This window comes from Homo sapiens, chromosome 4 (assembly GCF_000001405.40).
Source record: "Homo sapiens chromosome 4, GRCh38.p14 Primary Assembly".
Lineage (NCBI taxonomy): Eukaryota > Metazoa > Chordata > Mammalia > Primates > Hominidae > Homo > Homo sapiens.
The window spans coordinates 125408407-125431850 of record NC_000004.12 but is presented as its reverse complement, the minus strand read 5'-3'; the positions used below and the strand labels follow the sequence as shown (position 1 = coordinate 125431850).

Genomic DNA, 23444 nt, shown 5'->3' with positions numbered 1-23444 from the left:
TAGGGAATATGTGTGCATTTGTGTGAGCAAAAGGAGGTGTCATGGAAGAGAGAGAGAAACTGAAAGAGGGGATACATTAATCAAGGTTCCAGAGAGGCAAAGGATGGGAGGAGATGCAGGGTTCTTTAATCTCTTTTACTGATATTTCACTCTACTCACTAAAAATCAATCTTCATCCATAAAATGAGAATTATAATAGACTCTACCCCAAAGGGGTATTGAGAAAAATGTAATGTGCTTAGGACACTACCTAGCACATAAATTATATTCTATGTTACCCATTGTTCTTCTTGTACTTGTTTTAGAGACCAAAAAACTCACAGAAATTGACTATAAAAAGTCATTTTTTATTATATAGTTTTCTGTATTACAGCTCTCAGGATTCTGCCCCCTCCCCAAACCTTTCAATTCAGTCTCATATTATTCAGGAAAATATTTTGAATAATAATTCATCTCAATGATTCACTTGTGGTAAAAATACATGAGACATTTAGCTCTCTAAAAATTCACAGCTTTATGGAAGACATAGTAAATTGGACATTTTTAAATGTGGTATTTTAAGACTTACAGTGAGATTTCAAGAAAGATCTGAATATTTCTGATATACACATTGTGCTGTAATTCACAATTAGAAAATAAGTAACCGCCAGTCAAAGTCTTTACATTAATATTTGGTATTCTAAAGTGTCTGGTGATACACATATGGAAAACCACATTAAATTATGACTGACTCATTTGGACAAGAATATGTGATTTCTTTCTTTGTCTGTAAACCATATATTACTGTAGATACATTACTACTGTTGATACATTACTGTAGATACTGTAGAAAGCAAATGCTGGGGGGAGTAAAAAATGAGCCCTGTTTATCAAGGAAAGCTTACAGCAAGTTCAGTCTCACTGTGTTCATACCAAAGAATATCAACTTATTTTTCCAGATGATTTTCAAAGCACTCAGGTGACAACAGACAATTCTGGCTTGAGGATCATTTGTTGATCCTTGAGATTAGTAAATGATTCTCAAGACTGGCAGATGATCCTTAAGCCACGATCAGCCCCATAGGTGATTCTACATCTATATGAGTCTGTTTTCAAGCCAAGAACTTTCTCCAGAGTATCCCTTTTCTCCCCTTATTATCAGCCACAACCCACTTCATAAGCACTTGGAGTTCTCTTCTTATTTTTTTTTCCCACCTCAAGAAAAGTGAAGTACAATTTCTTCAACTGTCTCAACTTTCTTATTACCCCAGGAAATGTGCACACAAGTCTTGTTAGTTTTAAAAATTTTTTTTCATAGGAAACCTTACAGAAATTTTGTTCTACATTTCTAAGCCTTTTACTGAGATTTAATTAACCTGAAATTTGAATCGTGCCTCCAATGTGTTTGACTATTATTCCTGTGAATGGGGCTTACCAACCCTCCATCCCACTACAACATCTTGCTTGTTGACTGATAGCATAACCTCCAAATCAGCTTTACACAGAAAAATGAAATCAAGGGAGAAAAATGGAATGTCTCTTAATTTCAAGTGAATCTTATTTTCACTGCATTTGTGCCAGATGAGTGACACAAACTCCCTAGTCCTTGGCGACCACAGATCTTGGCACTTCTTTTATGTGCTAATTGAATGAAGACGCTGTGTTTTTGTTGTTGCTTTTCTGTGTCTGTGTGTTTGCTTTTTTTTTTTTTTTTATACTTTAAGTTCTAGGGTACATGTGCACAACGTGCAGGTTTGTTACATATGTATACATGTGCCATGTTGGTGTGCTGCACCCATTAACTCATCATTTACATTAGGTATATCTCCTAATGCTTTCCCTCCCCCCTCATCCCACCCCAGGACAGAACCCGGTGTGTGATGTAACCCTTCCTTTTAACTGTGTGGAGAGGTTCTCCGGAGTATTACTGTTTCCCACCGTGTAGTGGATACATCCTATTTGAAGTGCTGCATAATGTTTACTATTACTTTATCTTCCGTCCAAAGCTTTCTGCTGCCTCTGGGCTGTCAGATCCAACTGCCCATTTGTTGGTCTGCTCTTGCAAGTTACTGAAGAGTCTCAACATTAGTGTGTCAAAAACTGAAATCAGAGTCATTATCTGTAAACCTTGCTCATATATTTATATCTAAATTGAAATATAGGTGCATATACATACATGCATGTGTTATACATATTTCATTGAACACATTTGATACCAGATCTATACATATTTTATACATGTATTGCTCATTTAATGCACAGATTCCATAAAGTAGGTATTCTTGTTTGATTTTGTTAAACAACTTAAGACCCAAAGAACTGAACCAATTTCCATTTAGCCAGAATAGACAGAGAGCCAGTTTTGAATTCTTAAAAAAAATCTTTTCTAAGTTAATTAAGCTCAGATAAAACTCTGCCACTCTTATTGCAGATGTTTTGCTCTATATTATTATAATTATCAACGTACTCCAGTCACGTCCTATTAAGTTATAAGTTAATTGAAAACAGGAATAATTATGTTTAATTAATTTTTATATTAGCCCATAATGCATACCATTAGGTCTTGTGCTCTGTCTGTATTAACTCTTTCTCTAATTTTCTATATGAAAACCTGGTCTACATGGATGAAAGTTCACATAATTGAACACTTCTAGAAATATACAATCTAGGACTATACTTTTATAGTCTGGGACTTAGCCTAAGGCTGGGGTCAGAGAACAAGACTACAGACAAAGGTCAAAGTTTTGCAGATAGTGTACTACTTAGAAACAGAAGGTCCCAATTAAACGTGAATCCCATGAGAAGAGTCAGAATACTAGGGCCAATGTTTAGCTCAAATAGATCTGATAATGATGAATTATATAGGTAGTGGTGTAATAGGGCAAAATTGTTCAATTCCACCTGGGATTGATTTATGAAAACCAGATGCAATCACAAAGAGGCAGGATATAATGACACGGGCTCCTGATAGAGGACAGTGAGCCAATGAAAGGGGTAAAATATACAAATAAAATTAAAAGTGAAGGTCTCAGAAACTTGTAATTGTAGAGGTTAAGAAGATGCAGTGGATATTTGAATTAGAAGTCAGAACTCCAGTGAAAAGTCAAAAACCTAATTACAATTAGTAGTCAGATGAAAAAATTTCAAATTTAAATTTGTAAAGTTGTATGTAGTGTGTGTACATATGTATGCACATATGTATTCATATAAACATAAATATAACATAAACATGGAAAAAGTGATAAAATTCTTCTTCAGTTTTCACATAAAATAGCCAAAAAAGAAAACCCAAATTCTGAATGGCATATCTTAAAATTTACACAAACCAAATTGTGCACATGCACACACTCATGGGAAGAGAGACAGAGAGAGAGAGAGACTGTGCACAGGTTAATCTTCCAATTATTTATGATACCACAGTTAACCCTGGGCCTTGTGTGAGTCACATTTTATACTCTTAAGTATGAAAAACCATTAAACTAATAACTAGCATTGCCTTTAAGACTGGTAGCTTAGTCAGCTCAAATATATCAAATGAAGTTCAAGAAAATTTAAAATAAGACTTTTTTTTTTGAGACGGAGTTTCGCTCTTGTTGCCCAGGCTGAAGAGCAGCGGTGTGATCTCGGCTCACTGCAACCTCCGCCTCCCGGGTTCAAGCGATTCTCCTGGCTCAACCTTCCAAGTAGCTGGGATTACAGGCATGTGTCACCATACTTGGCTAATTTTTGTGTTTTTAGTAGAGACGGGGTTTCACCTTGTCGGTCAGGCTAGTCTCGAACTCCTGACCTCAAGTGATCTCCTGCCTCAGCCTCCAAAAGTGCTGAGATTACAGGTGTGAGCCACCGCACCTGGCCTAAAACTTAAAATAAGATTTGAAAAAAGAAAAAAGTTTCAGGTCACTGCTCTATCAGAATATACACAGATAATAAGTGTAATGAATGAGTTTAAACGATTGAAGTTCAAATGTCAGGAAGATTATATTTTTTATAATAGCAACTATAAATCAAAAATACTTCTCTGAAACATAAAAGGCTATTCAGCAGAAATAGAATTCTGCTTAACTTAATTCTGTTGCTTTGCAACAAAGCCATTTTCTTTCTTGACATCAAATATTTGGTAAATGGGTCCCCTGACTAGCGGTGTGTTTGTTGTAATAAAGTATTAGCTTCTTTTTTTCCCCATGAAGTAAACTCATTTTTCTCACAGTAAGTAAGCCATCCACTAAAAAATGTATTGAAATTCAGTCATCCTATATTAGCATTGAAGATTATGTGGTTAGATTAAAATTTGAATACAAAAAATACATAAAACAAAAGGTATGTAACAATTTAAATATTAACAACACTTCTGTATTTTAAAAATTCTGTTTTATAAAATAATGTATTGCTGCTAATTAGTTCTACATATATGCTTATATAAATTAGATATATACACACTTAATATTTTTTTCATTATTTTTGCATAGGAATCTATCAAAAACACTATATTTCCTTAAGATAAATTACATACTAAATAAAGGCATGAAGTAAAACTAAAATAATTACTTTAGTAAAGTTATGACAATGCCACTGAAAAATTGCACAACAAAGTGAATATACTTAATCACTAAACCATACACTTAAAAAATCGTTAAAATGAGAAATGTAATGATAAGTACATCTTATCATAATTTTTAAAAATTATAAAATAAAAAATAATAATAACCAAATATTTTATGCCTGCAAAAAGCACATATGAGGAATTACTATTTGGAGGACATTAAAGAAACCCAAAAATTTCAACACAGTTATTGAAACTCTGAAACACTAGAGGCTACCACCTAATTTTAAACTCAACCTACCTCTGCCTGCCTCCTGAGTGAAAATATCAAATTATATATTTAAGAATACTTATCAAAATAAGCTTTAAAAAAGGTTTGTTTCAAAAAGATAGAATTAGAAAACTTTTTTGAAAATAATGAAATCCTCATAATGAAATCATGTTGGTTTTGATTTTATATAATCTTTATCATTCAGTTTCTATAAATTTTATCATAAATATTAATCATAGTTTATTGCCATTTCAAAGTTTAATTTACTTTGTATACTCAGATTTGTAGCTCACATGGAGTAAATGGATAATAGATTGAAACTGTTTTATCAAATTTCAATTCTATGGAACCTGATGGCAACTTTAGCTCTTATTCAATGGAATTTTGGAAATTAAATGTTTCTGGAGTTTTATCTTAAGAAAACACAAATAAAATTCTATGTAGAAATATTTTTTTCTGACTAAAGAGTAGCTGATTTAAAAGAATGCTATTTAAATAAATGATTTAGAATAATATTTAGATCACTAACAAACTTCATAGAAAGTCTGCTACAAATAAGAGGAATTAAAACAATAACCAGTTATCAACTTTGGAAACAAGATTCCCATCTATGACAAATATGCCAATGGAAATAACAAAAGCTGCCCGAGACTCAAAAATAAAATTAAGTCAAATGCATTTCATGTCTGGTAATTGAAGGCAACTCTAGCATGATTTGATTTATAGAATTATTGGGGCCTTAAAAGTTTTCAAGCAATTTTCATTATTAAAAATGTTGATCATAACAGACAAGGCAAACTTTTCTATCATACATTCCCACAAATAATATTGACAAAATGTGATCTTTCTGGAATATTTAAAAACAATTATCTTCGGATGTAAAATGTCATATTACACAATTCTGACCTCTCTTTTGATTACAGAGCCATTTATAATGCAATGACCAGCTTCAACTAAATAATGTGACAGACAACAATTCAAAATGTTACCAGGTGCTCACCAATAAAATAAAGCATGATGATCACTCCTTTTAGCTTTTAGCATTAACTTTGCAAAAACAGCATGTTTCCCTCCATTAAAAAGCAATTTTCAATCCCTGCATAAGAATGAAATATATTCCCTTTCAGTTGGATGATAAATGCCCTTAATTAGAAATGCTAATAACTGAACTGTTCCCTGAAGACCTACTATTTATGCTGACACACAAATACTTTATAACTAAACTTTTGTGCCAAATCTAGAGACAGAATCTCTATATCCCTTTAGTACAACAGACTGAGAATTATCTATAAAGGATAAAGGATAACATATTTAATTTGTGCGCAGATTAATCTCCTACCCCCAAATTCAATGCAAACATACAGCCCAACTAACTGCATTGTCTATGCAGGTATGAGCATATCATATGTATTGTACGTTCATAGTATAATATCTAAGATTCGCTTTGTACTTTATACTTAATAAAACCCTTGGATACATATTTTTTATTTATTGAGGGGAATAATGCTGTGATTTCTAATTCATGAATATTATGACTTTACCAGCTATTTTACTTAGAGAGAACCACAAGATTTTTTGCTTCCTAAACCAATGTTCTCTTTAATATAAAAATAAAATTTAATCCAAAGGGAAGAAATTCGTATAAACATAGTCTATATAAAACAGAATATGGTAGACAGGCTGACATTTGGGAATTGGTAAATAATTGTTAAGAAATCATCACCTGTTAAGTGGGTTGGCCTCAAATCCTGTAGTCACTGACAAACAGCTGAATGGGCAGTACAAGTTGTTTAGTTTTTATAACACAAATTTTTGTTGGTTGTTTTATAAATCAATAAAATTGAGATACTAGTCCCTAACTTTCAGGGCTATTGTGAGATTAAATGAGATAATATAATACATATTCTGGAACTTACAAGCACTAAGTGTGCATATAATGAATATCATCTAATGTTTATGACTTTCTAAGATGTATCTCTACTTGAATGTCTTCCCTGAGAACTAAACTTTTATATTTAACTTTCTACGTGACATCTCAATTAGTTATAATATTTCAAACGTAATATGTCCAAAAACTAAGTCTTGGTAATTTGCCCTAAAATCTTTTTTCTCCCCATCTCCAAATTGTTCATCCAAATATTCTAGGACTCATGCCTGATTCGTGCCTTTTTGCAGCTTCCTATCCTTCCGATTCTACCATCAAGTCCAAAGATTCAACTTTCAAAATGGGTAAAATACGTAAGTACTTAACACTCTCTCGCCAGTTAATTTAACCGCATCATGTTTCATAACACTCCCAATCTATATACTATATTGTTTATTTTTTACTGTCTATTTTTGTGATTGTAATTTAAGCTGTATAAAGACAGAGACCTCTTCACCAGCCTATCTTCAGCACCTAGAAGAATATCTGGAGTAGAGTGCTCTATAAACATTTTGTGAAAAAGCAATATTAAGAGACTTGTTAAATATCAATAAGCCCATAGAAGTATAATAGTCTCACTGACTGTGTTAATCCCTTCTCACACTGCTATAAGGCCATACCTGGGACTGGGCAATTTATAAAGGAAAGAGGTTTAATTGACTCACAATTAACCCAGAGCTGGGGAGGCCTCAGGAAACTTATAATCGTGGCAGAATCAGAAGCAAACATGTCCTTATTCACAAGGCAGCAGGAGAGAGAAAAATGAGATGTGCAGAGTGAAGTGGGGTGAAGCCCTTATAGAACCATCACATCTCCTGAGAACTCACTCACTATTAGGAGAACAGCATGGAGGTAACTGCCCCCATGATTTAATTACCACCCACTAGGTCCCTCTCAGGACACATGGGGATTAAGGGAACTACAATTCACGATGAGATTTGGCTGGGCACACAGCCAAATCATATCATTCTGTCCCTGGCCCCTCTCAAATCTCATGTCCTCACATTTCAAAACACAATCATGCCTTCCCAACAGTCTCCCAAAGTCTTAACTTATTTCAGCATTAACTCAAAAGTCCAAGTCCAAAGTCTTATCTGAGAAAAGGTACATTCCTTCCACCTATGAGCCTGTAAAATCAAAAGCAAAGCAGTTACTTCATAGATATAATACGGTACAGGCATTAGGTAAATACACCCATTCCAAATGGGAGAAATTGGCCAAAATGAAGGGGCTACAGGCCCCTGAAAGTCCAAAATGCAGAGGGGCAGTTAAAGCTTAAAGCTCCAAATTGATCTCCTTTGACTCCATGTCTCACATCCAGGGCATGCTGATGCAAGACATGGGCTCCCATGGTCTTGGGCAGCTCTGCCCCTGTGGCTTTGCAGGGTACAGTCCCACTCCCAGCTGCCTTCACAGGCTGGTGGTGAGTGCCTGCAGCTTTGCCAGGTGCATAGCTGCAAGTTGTCAGTGGAGCTACCATTCTAGGGTCTGGAGGATGCTGGCCTTCTTCTCACAGCTCCATGAGGCAATGCCCCAGCAGGCATATATCTTCTTTATTTAACAATTAAATTTAAACAATGTATAAATTTAAGCTTATTTTCATCCTCTGAAATTCAGGCGGAGGTTCCCAAACCTTACTTCTTGACCTCTGTGCACCTGCAGGCTCAACACCATGTGGAAACTTCCAAGGCTTAGGGTTTGTACCCTCTGAAGCAACAGCCTGAGCTGAACCTTGGCCCCTTTTAGCCATGGCTAGAGTGACTATGATGTGGGGCACCACATCCCTAGGTTTTACACAGCAGGGGTGCCCTGGGCCCACCCAAGGAAACCATTTTTTCCTCCTGGACTTCCAGGCCTGTGATGGGAGAGGCTGTCGAGAAGGTCTCTGACATGCCTTGGAGACATTTTTCCCACTGTCTTGGTGATTATCATTCAGCTCTTGGTTACTCATGCAAATTTCTGCAGTGGGCTTGAATTTCTCCCCAGAAAATGGGTTTTTCTTTTATATTGCAATCTCAGGCTGCAAATTTTCCAAACTTTTATGCTCTGCTTCATCTTAAATCCTTTGTCATTTAGAAATTTCCTCTGCCAGATACCTTAAATCATCTCTCTCCAGTTCAAAGTTCCACAGATCTCTAGGGCAGGGGCAAAATGTTGCCAGTCTCTTTGCATAGCAAGAGTGACCTTTGCTCCAGTTTCCAAGAAGTTCCTCATCTCCATCTGTGACCACCTCAGCCTGGACTTCATTTTCCATAACACCTCAGCATTTTGGTCAAAGCCATTCAAAAAGTCTGTAGGAAGTTCCAAACTTTCCAACATTTTTCTCTCTTATTCTGAACCCTCCAAACTGTTCCAGTCTCTGCCAGTTACCCAGTTCCAAAGTCACTTTGGTATTTTTACAGCAGTGCCCTACTCTCTCTGATATCAGTAACCTGTATTAGTCTGCTGTCATGCAGCTAATAAAGACATACCCAAGACTGGGTAATTTATAAAGGAAAGAGGTTTAATTGACCCACAGTTTGGCATGGCTGGGAAGGCCTCAAGAAACTTACAATCACAGCGGAGGGGGAAGCAATCACGTCTTTCTTCACATGGTGGCAGGAGAGAGAAGTGCTGAGCAAAGGGGGAAAATCCCCTTATAAAACCATTAGATCTCATAAGAACTCACTCACTATCAGGAGAACAGCATGGAGGTAACTGCCCCCATGATTCAATAACTTTCCACCAGGTCCCTCCCATGACACATGGGGATTATGGGAACCACAATTCAAGATGCGATTTGGTGGACACACAGGCAAACCATATCACTAACTGTAATCAGAACTTATTTATAAAGTGCATTAAATTAGCACCATAGTTTGATTTTAATTAATGCAAAATGATAATTGGCAGTGATAATTACCAATATTATCATCTTCTAGGCATAAAGCCTAACAAATTCTTTATATCTTCTTTATTTAACAATTAAATTTAAACAATGTCTAAATTTAAGCTTATTTTCAAAATACCAATATTGAAATTACTGATTCCACTTAATTTGGCTTCATTTAAAAATGTTTTCAAACATTTATTTATTTGGGGAAAGAAAAATAGCAGTTGAATGTTTCATTTATTAAAGTGAAATGAATAAAGTAAAAAAGAAAATATTTTTTAAATTGCATATTTATAAATTTATTTCATGGAGAGAGTCAGCAATATATTTTAAGGAATATCCTGATTTCCTTAAAAAAATTTAATAAATATGATATGGATGAGCAAGAATTTAGTTGAAAGGCAGAAATTCTAAATATTATACCTGACTTTGCTACTACCTGGGTCTGCAAGTTCTAGCACACTGCTTATCTATCCCAGCCTTCAATTTTCTTATCTGGAAAATAAAGGAAGTGGACTGGCTCATCTCCAAGAAACCTCCTGGCCAAAAAAAAACCATCACTTAATGTCAGATTTCTCTAACTTAGAATTTTTTCATATGTAGCTTTCTTTAAAAACTCCTCTGAGTATAACTGTAGCATCCCCAAAGTGTCATACCAGTTTGTTTTACTGCTTTCTCGCACATTAATTCAGTTCCCTGAAAGAGTAGTGGCAGATATTAATGCCTCACAGCATTTAAATTTATTTTTGAGGGTATAATCTCATCTTGAGTTAAAAAAATTCTAAAAGGTCTGGACAAATTACTTGCGTAAGTATATATCTGTTGGAATAATTTATGTGAACACCAAAATTTCCATAATAAAATTTAAAACAAGCAAATTTTTCATATTAAGTTGGTGTGAAATGATGGGCCCTTATATTTAAGCTATGTGAAACCAATTGCCACGTGTGCTTAGAAAGTGCTTAGATATGTGGGAGATATGGAAGATTCACAATTGTTTGCTTTGGGAAAACCAGGTATAAAAGAATTGTCGAATGGTGAAACTATTCAGGCCAGGCGCAGTGGCTCACGCCTAGCACTTTGGGAGGCCAAGGCAGATGGATTGTCTGTGCTCAGGGGTTCGAGACCAGCCTGGCAACATGGTGAAACCCTGTCTCTACTAAAATAAAAAAAAATTAGCCAGGCATGTGCCTGTAGTCCCAGTTACTTGGGAGGCTGAGGCAGGAGAATTGTTTGAACCCGGGAGGCGAAGGTTGCAGTGAGCCAAGATCATGCCACTACACACCAGCCTGCACAACAGAGTGAGACTCCCTCTCCAAAACAAACAAACAAACAAAAACTATTCAGAAGCATGTAGTTTCTGCTCATGCAGGTTTTGAATTAAATCTTATGAACCAGAGTAAGAAAAGGTGGATAGTAAAGCACAGAGTAGCAATACGACCTGTCTAGAAACGTCTAATAGATAACAGAATTGAATCAGAGCCAGAAGGTTCAGGGGAAAGTCATGAGAATATAGCTCAAGCAGTATTTTAAGCACTTGAAACTGAATTAAAGCCATAAAATGCTTCACTGGGTCCTTACATGTGACTGCAATTTGTCACATCACACTAAACACCACAAAGCTTTAAACACTTGTGCTGCTTTTCAAAAGAGAGGTCACTTTGAATGACCACAGCCAATGTAGCAAAAACTTCTGGAATTTCAGCCATGAATTAAAAATGATTTGCACTTTTTTCTTTTGGAAGTTTCTTTAAAAAAATCTGCAAACAATGAATATATAACAATAAACTAAATATAAGTATGTTAAATAAATATAAATAACAGTTGCATATTAAAATAATAGGTTGTCTTTCAAATGACAACTATCATTATTCAACATATATAACTTACTCATTCAACAAATATTTATTAAGCACCTATTATGTTGCAGGTCCTTTTCTAAGTGTTTCTGAGAATCCCATTTTGAATAAGACTTAGGAAGTTTACTTTCTCTGGAAATCTGATAGAGAAGGATAAGGTAAACAAACTCTATATACTCATATATTTTATGTAGAAGAACACAATTTTAGATAGGAATTTGTGTTAAGAAATCATAAAGAGGAAGTTGATAGAGTGACACTGGGAAAAGGGAAAGGGCAAACATAACATTACTGGTCAGACAAGTCCTCTCTGAGAAGTTGACATTTTATCTAAAATAATGACAAAATGACCATGACATGGATGCCCTTCTCCCTCACCAAACCAAACCAAACAGCTCGCTGTAGAATAGAAAATTCCAGGCAGAGAGAACTACAAGTGCAAAAGGCCAACATGGCAGAAAGGTTGGCATTTTTAAGGAAGCCTGATTGATTGGTTGGCATTGGCAGTATTCAGTAAATGTTTAGCAACTGCTTTCAAGAAACAGGCCAACTACATTCAAAGCACTTACTGATTTCCAGGGTGTAAATACTTCCATGTTGGCCAATTACAATCTAATAATGTGATGATACTAAATGCAGAACTGACAGGAGACAAAGGGTGAGCTGGGGCCAGTGCACGACTCTGGCTCAAAATAAAGGTGGCAGCTGGTGGTGGTGGAGGGGTTCAGATAAATGGACAGAGACCAAGTTATTGAATCCCATGTAGTCAATGGTAAGACATTTAAATTTTATTCTTAGAAATCACTGCATGCTGTCTATGCAAGAGATAGGGTATGATTATCTAATTTATAGTTTTAAATGTTCTTGGGTTGCCTGTTGAATAATGCACCATGCAGGAGAAAAGATAGGCAGTTAGCAAGCTATCATACTACCCCAGCTTAGACTAAGGAGGTCGTTTTGGAGGTAAAGAAAAGTGGATAAATTCAGGACACTTTTGGACATTTTTGAAGCTGAGTCTCCTTGTTAATGAATTTGTTGGATATGGTGTACAGAGGAAGAGGAATGAAGAATAATAACAAGGTTTGCCTTCAGCAATTGTGAAATGATCTATGAAGCAATTCATTTAAGGTAGGGAGGTGAATAGAAGTCAAAAGTGTTACTTTGGCCTTACTAAGCTTGAAATGTCTAGTAAACATGCTGACTGACATTAATAGCTAGAATAAGTATTCCTTTTTATCTATTTGATCAATAAACTTTCATATAGATATTAGTATTTCCAATCATAGATACAAACATGAAGGAATAGTAAAGTTGTTGAAGGTCATATAGCTGGGAATGTCAGAGGTAGGATGTGAACTGGGGTTTAACTATAAAGTCTATGTATTTAACTACATGATATACTTCCATTTCTAAATTAATTATCTGAATTCATTTTTTAAAGTATACTCTTCTAGTTTCCCTGATAATTTCCTGCTACTTGCTCCATTTAAAACATTATTTTATTTATTGCACATATGAGAAAATGGTAAGGCAAACTCTTGTAAGAAAGGCTACTTAGGAGTAGAATGCCTAACCCATATGAAGGACATAACTGCTTTTGAGCAAATTCTCCTTTAAACCATGTAGTAGTACCTGCATTACTATACCAGGTGGATGTGTTAGCCTCCTATGAGTTTCTACTTGGTACAGTAAATATTTCCAGAAGAAATAACTATAAGTAATGCATAATGAAGGCCGAATATCCATACTTTCTGTTATAGCTAAGCAACATATCATCAGTAATGGAATTGTAGTCTGTTTAGCAATTTAATTATCTACAGGAAAAATGAGATATAATTATTATACCCTCTTCCGGTTTTGTAATTTAGTAATGTAACTTTTAGCACTGCATACATATGATACTGTGGTTGTAGCTTACTGGAGCAGTAGACAGGAGTAGTTAGAGTTTCCAAATGTGCTACTCTGTAACCATGCAGTCAGTAAATAAAAATATGATGAGAGTTTAAATGGTAATGTTTTCTCCCTCCCACATTGAAACATTTAGTGGTTTGCATGATTAAAAACTGCCACTGCAATCTGTGCCATACTGATGAAGTTGACCTATCTCTGGGCTAAGGTAATAGTTCAAAAAAAATGCAAAGGAAAGGTGATTTGTGAGATAAAGAATTAAACTCTCAAAATTTTTTTGAAACACTTTGATATTTTCCAGGCCCTTAGAACACTACAGATTTGAGAAAAACATTGCATCTGGGATCTAATAGCTGCCATATTTTTCCGAAATTTCTCATGTCATCTACAAGTTTGACTTTTGAATGAAAACAGTGAATATGTAATTTAAGTCCTCTGTCAAAGATCTCATTCTTGGAAAATAAGATTAAACTGTAGATTCTAAAACCGGATGTCTAAAACTCACATTCTCCTGAAAAAAGTGGTTATTCATATCAAGAGTATCCAAGGGAATTAATTTCAAGATCACCCAGTTCAACTTTCCTCACAACTTCTGTTTTCTGTATCACTCATAAAAGTGAACTTCAGACATCTAATTGAGTATTTATCCACCAGTGGCCTCAGAAATGCCAGTCTATTTCAGAGCGACTCGAAAAACAGTGCCCATAGAGAGCTGTGCTTTGAAACAAGGTTTAATTAATGCTTTCATTTTTAGAGCTGCCAAAACACCATGACTTAGGACACTAATGTCACTGAAACTCATTTGTGCCTCCCATCATGGTCTTCAGCATCATTTTTAAAGCTTTGAGTGACAGGCTTCCACATATCATAATGTTACTGATAATCTGATTGCTCACCCTCCATAACTTAGAATCCTCCATAACTCTATTGGGCAGAATCTTCACACATCTGATCTGCATATTTCTTATTTAATAGAAATTAGGGTTAGACTTCTGTTATTTATACTTATACTAATAATTCCAAGTCCTGGTTTCCCCCTGACCCTGATTTTCAAGGCTGATGGCATCAGGAACTTATAGTTTGGCTCCCTGGAACCAGGACTTTGTTCTTGAGCAGCCTGCACATTTAGACCAATGCTTCACTGAATACTGAGCCACCTTCTAGTGAAAGCTCCTCCTAACAGACTCACTCACCCATGTCTATCAGAAGAGAAGTGGTTGGAACCATCTACATGTTTCCAAAGCTAAAGTACTTTAAATGCCCCTAGCTCAGGAAGTAGAGTGTAAGGTCACATCCAGAGGTACTCAATAAGCTTATAGGGCAACAATTCATTCTGTTTTATGGGAATAGGGCTTAGGTGGCGATGTCCTTAAGCCCTTGCCACTTATATATAAATGTCATAAAGTGAATGATGTGCCATCAATAACATAGAGGCAATCAGAATTTCAAGCATTAGTAAAAGTGAACAAATATTTCATTTAATGGCAAACAGAAAATACTTCATACTCATATTATGAAGAAATTATTATTATTTAATTTATTTGTTTATTTTGAGACGAGTTTCGTTCTTGTTGCCCAGGCTGGAGAACAGTGGTGTGATCTCGGCTCACTGCAACCTCCGCCTCCTGGTTTCAAGCGATTCTCCTGCCTCAGCCTTCTGAGTAGCTGGGATTACAGGCACGCACCACCATGTCCAGCTAATGTTTGTATTTTTAGTAGTGATGGGGTTTCACCATGTTGGTCAGGCTGGTCTTGAACTCCCGACCTCAAGTAATCCATCCACCTTGGCCTCCCAAAGTGCTGGGGTTACAGGCATGAGCCACCGTGCCTGGCCTAGAAATTATCTACAAATGAACAAGGGTGTAATGGACTTACCTGAATCTGTAGCTGTAATCATTAAGACAAAGCGCTCTTTTGTTTCCCGATCCAGACTCTGTGTTACTCCAAGTTCTCCACTGGCTGAGAGAGTAAAAGCATTGTCTTCATTACCACCAAACAGAACATATGAGAGTTTGCTGTTAGATCCTCGATCATCATCTCTTGCCACCACCTGTAGAACAGTACATACCAAGATGTGAGTAAAACAAACAATGCATCTCATGAAATAAAATGCCTCCATTAAAAAAAAATGAGGTAAAACTATGTTAAGAGATTCCAAAGATATATTTTTAGATTTTCAAGTAAAAAATAAAAATGGCACACTATAGTATATATCACCCGAGTCTATTTGTGTAAAAATATGTGTAAAGCTAATGCACAGCATTTTTGGAAGGCTTCATAAAAATTTTTAAGAGCAGTTTCACCTAGGTAGTTAAATATATGAAGGAAAAGAGTAGAACAATATTTATAACGAAGTTTCAAACATTTCCATCATTTTAGTTTTTTACTATGTGCAGATATTATCCTTGTGGAACAAAATTCAAAAACACAAATACATAAATGTGTGCAACATGAGTATACACAAAAGAAAGCTAGTAAAATACAAAAGTTTCATCAATGAGGAAATTAAGAGGTTCTTAGGTATGATGTTTATAAACCTTTCCTTTTCAAAATTTGCTGTATCTGCAATTGAGCATTTATGGATGAGAATGAGGAGAGAACAGGGGAAGCGTAAACGCTGTAGAAGAGGGGAGGTTTTCAAATAGATGTCTTATAATTAAGACAATACTTGCTTTATTTAAATATACTGACCTGAAGAATTGTTCTGGGTAGTGTCCCTAAATTCTCAGGGACATTTACAGAATATGGAGATAGCTCAAATACAGGAACAAAGTCATTAATATCCAGTAGAACAATGCTGACCGTGGAGGTATCAGTTCTGGGTGTGCTGCCTCGATCTGTTGCCTGAACAGTTAAATGGTAGGTAGGGGTCTTTTCTCTATCCAAAGGTTTAGCGACAGTGATGGCACCTGTGACAGAGTCTATCCGAAATTCCTGATTGGTATTACCATTAACAATGCCATAGCGAACCTGTCCATTTGTGCCTTCATCTCCATCTGCTGCGAACACTTGTATTATATCTGTTCCAGTAAGTGTGTTTTCATTAATCTCCACTTTATACAAAGCTTGTGCAAAGATGGGGTTGTTATCATTGATGTCAAGTACCATAACTACAACCTCTGTAGATGAAGAGAGAGATGGTTGACCTTTGTCTGTAGCCACCACTGTTAGAGTATAATTAGAAACTTCTTCTCTGTCCAGTTCTCCAGTGAGCCTCACTTCACCATCAATGGTCCCAATACTGAACTTGTTTCCCAAAGGGTTCAGCAGAGTGTACTCAATATAGCTGTTTGGGCCACTATCTGGGTCAGTTGCTTGAGCTTTGAAAACAACAGTATCAATAGGTGTATTTTCTGGAATGTATGTCAATTTAGGGGAAAGAAATGTCGGTGGGTTATCATTTACATCCAACAAAATAATGGAGACTTGAGCAGTGCTTGTGAATCTGGAGGCTGGAATCTGTGGCAGGTCATGCACTTGAACAACCAAGTTGTAGAAGGACTGACTTTCCCGATCCAAAGCTTTTAGGACTTTGAGTACACCATTCTTGTCAACAGTAAACTGCCCAAGGCTATCACCTGAAGCAATGCTATAAGTCAATTGAGAGTTGATGCCTGAAATTAAAGGGAAGAAAAAATTTTCTTAAACATATGCTGATTGCAGAACAAGCTATACCAAAACTTTTAGCAAGTAATTTGGCATGTTTGATATGCCGTGCATCCAAACACACTTTAGGAAATCCTGTGAACAAATGATCTATATACTGCTTGCTATTTACTAGGGTGTTGAAATGTTAAATTACAAAAGTAAAGAGGAGAAAAATATTCCAGAGAGCAGATATTTTTCTATATATTTCCTTGTTTCTATCACATAATTCCTGATGGTCCAACACTAACAGTGCCACACGCTATACTATTAGTCAAACATTTGTAACTTTAGTAATTTAGGGAGGCTGACACCAATTTTCAAGAAAGGGTAATAAAATGTTCTGATGTATGGCATTAGTCATGAATGCTGTAAGTGTACTTCTATATTTCGTGTCAAAATCAATAAATACTTATTAATTCCTATTAAGTGTCTAGCTAAGTAATGGACCTTTGAGACAATAGTTCTCTTTCAAATTTTATTAAACATATTTAAAGTTTCTAAAAAGTATTTTTAAAGAAATTGTTAGCAGTAAAATTATACATAAAACTTTCCAAATATAAATGCTCATGCTATTATTGAACTGTATTTAGATACTGTTGATTTTTCTTAGGATCATGTGTCATTTTTTAGTTTAAAAATTGTTTCTAAATCCTCACTTCAGAAAATGATTGCAGAGAGTCTTATAACAAAAATGATGTGGAGCATATACATCATCTTACTGTTTTAGTAACTAAAGGTAAATAACAAATAAGCAGTGAAAACAGAAAGAAGTCAGTTTCTGCCTCAGAGTGATGTTTTCTTCTCTGGCCTGTAACGATGTGCATTTTTATATCTTATCCTAATGACATTGGAAAAATTACAGGATATTATGATAAAAACGTACTGTACATCCAGGTAATCTATCTTTAATAAAGATGTATATTCTGGGACTAGCAAATATCTACTGACTAACCTGAATTACCTACAATTAGCTTCTATATTTCTAACATTAATTTCAACTATCCAGGTTTCTGAATTCTACCTATGAGAAGTGATGTTCACTTTTGGCAAAAGTCGTCTAGAACAATTTAATCACCCTTTTACTCTTTTCTTTAAAAAAATTCTTTCTCATTATTCTATCAATACTTCAGTTAACTTTTGCCTTTTTTTGAACTTCATCAAGTTCTTTAAGAAGTCAAATTTAACTTGAGTATGAGATTTTTTTCTACCATGTAGAACTCAATGTTTTTAAAAACGCCACACTTACTCTTATTCTGTGACTTTACTGTCTCTAATATCCTTTGCCTAATTTGAAACATGGGAAAAATATTTATGAATATAACTTTCAGACAATGACTTATTAACAAAAATTTCTAGGATAAACAATGATTGAGTAAATCGTTGAAAGCGTAGTTTATTTTTTCCCCCTCATTATGAGTTGTGACTTTTAATCTTTATAGTTTATTTAAGACTACTCACAAGTGAACAAGGAAGAGATTACAAAGTTCAGAATACTTAGGAGTCTGAAGATCAGGAAAAATATGAATAAATAAAGCTAATAGGTGTCAGAGGTCAATTCACCCGCAGGAAAGAAACAGAATTGTAGAATCTGACTAGAACAAGGTTAACAGCTTATTTCAACCCCTTGTCTTAAAATTCCACAGGCTTTAGAGGATAAAAATTTCCACTATCTTCACATATATATATATAAAGCTTTTAGGACTTTCATTACAACGTAAATATACGTATATACATTATATTGTGTGTGTATATATATTTACTCAAACATTATAACATATACATATTTGAGTATCTATATATACACACAGAATTTATTTTTAATTATGTGTATACGTGTGTTTCTATTAACATCTACATATATAGTTACGTTTAATTACTTTTTAAGAAAATTTTCTGCATTTCCTACAAAAAAGTTCATCAGTAAATATTGAATCCCCATTCTTTTGGGGACATGACTATTATTGAGAAATGCAGTTATGAAAACACATGAATGAAAATAAATACCAACAAGCAAAGATATAAAATTTAATTCTAGAGAAGCATATAAAATCTTTCATATCTAAGATCAAAATACATTAAAAATACTGACATTTTACATGGCCTAACATTTCTACATAAATCAACAGGAATGGGAGCAATTAAATCAAGTATCTGATCATCCTTAGTCCATCATGTATGCTACTTCCTTGAGTAAACAGCTAAATTGCAGAGGCAAAAAGAGAACACGATCCCAAAATTTTATAGCGTTGTTGTAAACAGCAGAACAGCCTCTTTTATAAAGGCAAAAAGTTTGGTAGATGAATGGGTAAGGGAAGTAATAAATTTTAAGCTAACTAAAAGTATAACAAAAGAAAAATTTGCTTTTATATTCAAATACATAATGACAAATATATTAAGTAACAACATTAAAAATAAACTGAAGATTATTGTTGATGAAACAAATAAAAAATATAACTATTTTTACATAAAATATTGCCATATTATAGAAGAAGTAGCTCTCATCTCAGGAACTGAAAATTAATTGCTGCAATTACAGGTCATGGAATCCATCTGCATTTACTTTACTGTAAAGAAAATAACTTTTCATTTCTGACAAGTCTAAAAAGTGACTTTGGCCACATACACTACATCTAAAAAATACATGCAGACATAGCAAAACTCAAATTTCTCCCGGAATATTTGAAGTATACTGAAAAATACTAAGCTCAGACCATTTTTTTCTATTTTTTCAACAAATATCTGAACCATGAGACAGTAAACACATTATTGTAAAATTATTATTTTTACATTGTTTTGAATTCTAAGCTTTAGCCATAAGTGTTGCAATTTAAATTTAGTGGGCTTTAATGGCCCACCAGATCTTTAAACTTCAAACAGCCCACTGTGAACCATTTGTGTTCAATGTTCTCCAAGTCATTTAGTTACATGACTCTTCCTGGCAGTTTTATTGCATACATATGGTTTTATGGTTTCGTCATATATATATATATATACACACATACACACACACTATATATAGATATGTAGATATCTATATATAGTATTTCAGTCTCATGAATAATTTTGTTCTAAGAAGCACAGCACATAAAATATATATTATAAATATATAAAAATATATATAAATAGTAAAATATATTTTAAAAGTATAGGTGTATAGTTTCATGCTATAAAATATGTATATTTACTCACAATCTATAAATGTTATCTTCTAATTTCTATAAAGAACTAATATTTGTCAACTTTTCACATAGCTGCAACACATAGAAGTGTTTTGAATAACACCCATCTTTATAAAGCAGTTTCAACAAGGTCATCAGGTCACTGGAATATATGAAACTCAATGGTCTGTATTGTACACCAATATTATATAGCTACATTTATTCAGCAAAAATTCCAATTGTATTATTAGCAAAACATTTTAATATGACTTCCCAATATTTAAAGTGTAAATAATTTATAGGATAACGAAATAACCATCAAAGCCAGAATATTTCCGTGATGCTCCGATATTTCCTCAATGTAATACCGCATGCTTAGTAGTCTTGATGCTAACAGAGGTATTACCCTTCTTGTGAAAACAGTAAAAGATCTGATTTATGTTTATGAAATCATCATGTAAGCTAAATTTTAAACTCTGACAGAATCCATAGACAGATAACAGATTGTGACATTTATTTTCATATAAAATTCCTTCATCTAAAAAGATGACAATATTACCTCATTGGAACCTTCTGATCAGTGATTGAGATTTATTTGTTAATTTGTTATTTTTAAAAAATGTCTGACTAATATTGTCTGTGAAACACTTGAGACCCTTTTGTGTAACTGAGCTGGAAAGTTTTACAAACAAGCTTACCTTTGTATAGCCTTATCACTGTCCTTGAAATTCAGAAAGAATAGGAATTGTGTCATATATTTTATGTCAAGGTGCAGGAAATTACACTGATAAACGTATTCAAAACTAAAACAATGAATAAATATAGCTTGAAACTTTTACTCAATGCAATTAAAGAAAAAATATCACAAAAACTTACTTAGAGACAATGGTCAATGTATTTCTGTGCTTACATGTGCATGGAATATTCCAGCAGGTTTTTGACAAACAAAATTCTTTTCTTTTTCTTTTTAATTTTTTGGTATCTTCGCAGTTTCCCTATATTTTAAGTTATGATGGTAAATAAAACTTATTCCAGGAAAACATACAATTCTATGAAACAATGGGCTCTCTCTAATACATAACTAATAAATCAAAAAGAAACATGGTGGAAAATTCTTCTCTGTAGAAAAGTTGAGCACAGTCACAGGACAAATAAGAATACATGATTAGCTTTGAAAATATTCTTATCTATGGAATAGGTAGACTAACTAAAAGTTATAGCAGATAAACCAATCTCCAAAATAGGGACTAACCTCAATTATATACAGATATCTAACTGGAGCCAATCCACAGACCTGGGATGAGGTACATGAAATAGAGTGTGCAATGTTCTTAGGCCAGGACTGGGTACATGCAAAACACTTGGCAGATGTCAGTTCTTGAGATTCTTATTAACATCGTTAACATTAAAGTATTGTTACTAGCAACAGTAGTAGTAATAGTAGTAGTACTAGCATTACAGCTGTATCTATTTTAGATATATCTTTGTGCCCAATTTTAACTGCACTTAAATTAGAGGAGGAAACATCAAAATGCTCTTACTCAATGAATTCTAAAGAAAGTATTTCCCATTTTACTTATTGAAACATATATAAAATACTGTCCTTTTTGCTTCTCATATCGTTCCAAGTGCCATTTATAGACACTATGAGAAGGAAAGTAAGTATAGAATAGAATGTTAAAATAGAATAGTATTCTGAGATTTCACAAATCATCCAAGTCATAAGAATAAGGCAATTCTAAATTGAGATAGATATGCCTGTCAATAGAGACCTATTTCTTCTTCAAAGTACTGTCCCTTGTTTTATATATTGATGAGACAATTTAGTTGCATCCAACATAAGGGAAAAACACGTACTAATTTTCCAGACAATTCAGTTAAAGGTTGATAATCCATACAATGTTTTCTCTAATGCTATATTATATGATATGTATACTTACAAAACAGGTGTTAGAAGAAAGGCCAAAGGAGTCAGCTATTAAAATAAAGTTTGCCAATTGCTTTTGCAATAAATACAAATCAAACACATGTAAAGTATAAATTTAATGCAAAATTTTAACTTGATCATTAGCATAAATTAAACAGATCTGAGACTGTTCGAGCTGAAATGAAACCTAGTTAAAATATTATTAGCTGGGCTGGGTGCAGTGGCTCACGCCTGCAATCCCAGTACTTTGGGAGGCCAAGGCAGGCGGGTCATCTGAGGTCAGGAGTTGGAGATTAGCCTGACCAACATGGAGAAACCCCGTCTCTACTAAAAATACAAAATTAGCCAGGCGTGGTGGTGCATGCCTATAATCCTAGCTACTCGGGAGGCTGAGGCAGGAGAATTGCTTGAACCTGGGAGGTGGAGGTTGCAGTGAGCTGAGATTGCATCATTGCACTCCAGCCTGGGCAACAAGAGTGAAACTCTGTCTCAAAAAAAAAAAAAAATTATTAGCTATTTGTCAGCCAAAAATGTGAAACTTAGTTTTTGCATTCGTAAGTATTTTTACTTAAGTCTTTGGTTTCATTTTGCTTTGAAATTCTATCCTTTTCAAGTTAAAATAACATATGTAAACCTAATATTTTTATTTATCTAACAAAATTATACAAAAAAAAGTGGTCTTATGACTTCTACATTGCTAAATTGAAACACGACCCTACATTTAGGGGGAAAAATAAGATAAAGTTTATAAAACAATACAAGGTATGTTTTCTGTTATAAATAAGAATTTAACCGATAAAGTACTTAATTTTTAAAATCCTCTACAGTTCAGTTATAATTCTATTCCTCAACTTCCAACCTATATTCACAAAATGCATTTTTGTGACAGCTCAACACAATAAATAAATGTAATATAAATCTGATGACAGTTTATAGATGTTTTAAAAATTATATTAAATAAAATACATACCATCATCTGCATCAGTAACATTAAACACAAGAACAGTAGATCCCACAGGTAGATTCTCCATTAAAGATGTGCTGTATGAATTCAAGCTGAAAATAGGTGGATTATCATTTACATCTAGAATATTGAAATAAACTCTGATGGTAGTAAATTGTCCCCCACCATCTTCTGCTCGAACAGTGAGGATATAATATTGCTGTACTTCATAATCTAATAATCGAGTCAAATTAAAGACCCCAGTAATAGGATTCAGGAAAAAGATGCCATCTTCATCATCTTCATTCACAATATATGTAATTTCTCCATTCACACCAGAGTCATCATCCGTGGCTAAAATGGCTGCTACCAAAGAACCTATCAAAAGAATAAATTAATAGTATAAAATCAAGGA

The 23444-nt window shown here is 34.3% G+C and overlaps 1 protein-coding gene across 6 annotated transcripts in view; it reads right to left on the bottom strand.

The window, feature by feature from the left end:
- The window catches only part of FAT4 (FAT atypical cadherin 4), a 177978-nt gene that overhangs the window by 61082 nt on the left and 93452 nt on the right, over window positions 1-23444 (bottom strand). For all 6 annotated transcript variants that reach the window (NM_001438396.1, NM_001438397.1, NM_001291303.3 and 3 more), the window contains 3 exons: window positions 23057-23407; window positions 16045-16967; window positions 15229-15403 (listed from right to left, as the gene is read on the bottom strand). In NM_001438396.1, coding sequence (NP_001425325.1) covers window positions 15229-15403; window positions 16045-16967; window positions 23057-23407 — 1449 coding nt within the window. The remainder of the gene's footprint in view (window positions 1-15228; window positions 15404-16044; window positions 16968-23056; window positions 23408-23444) is intronic.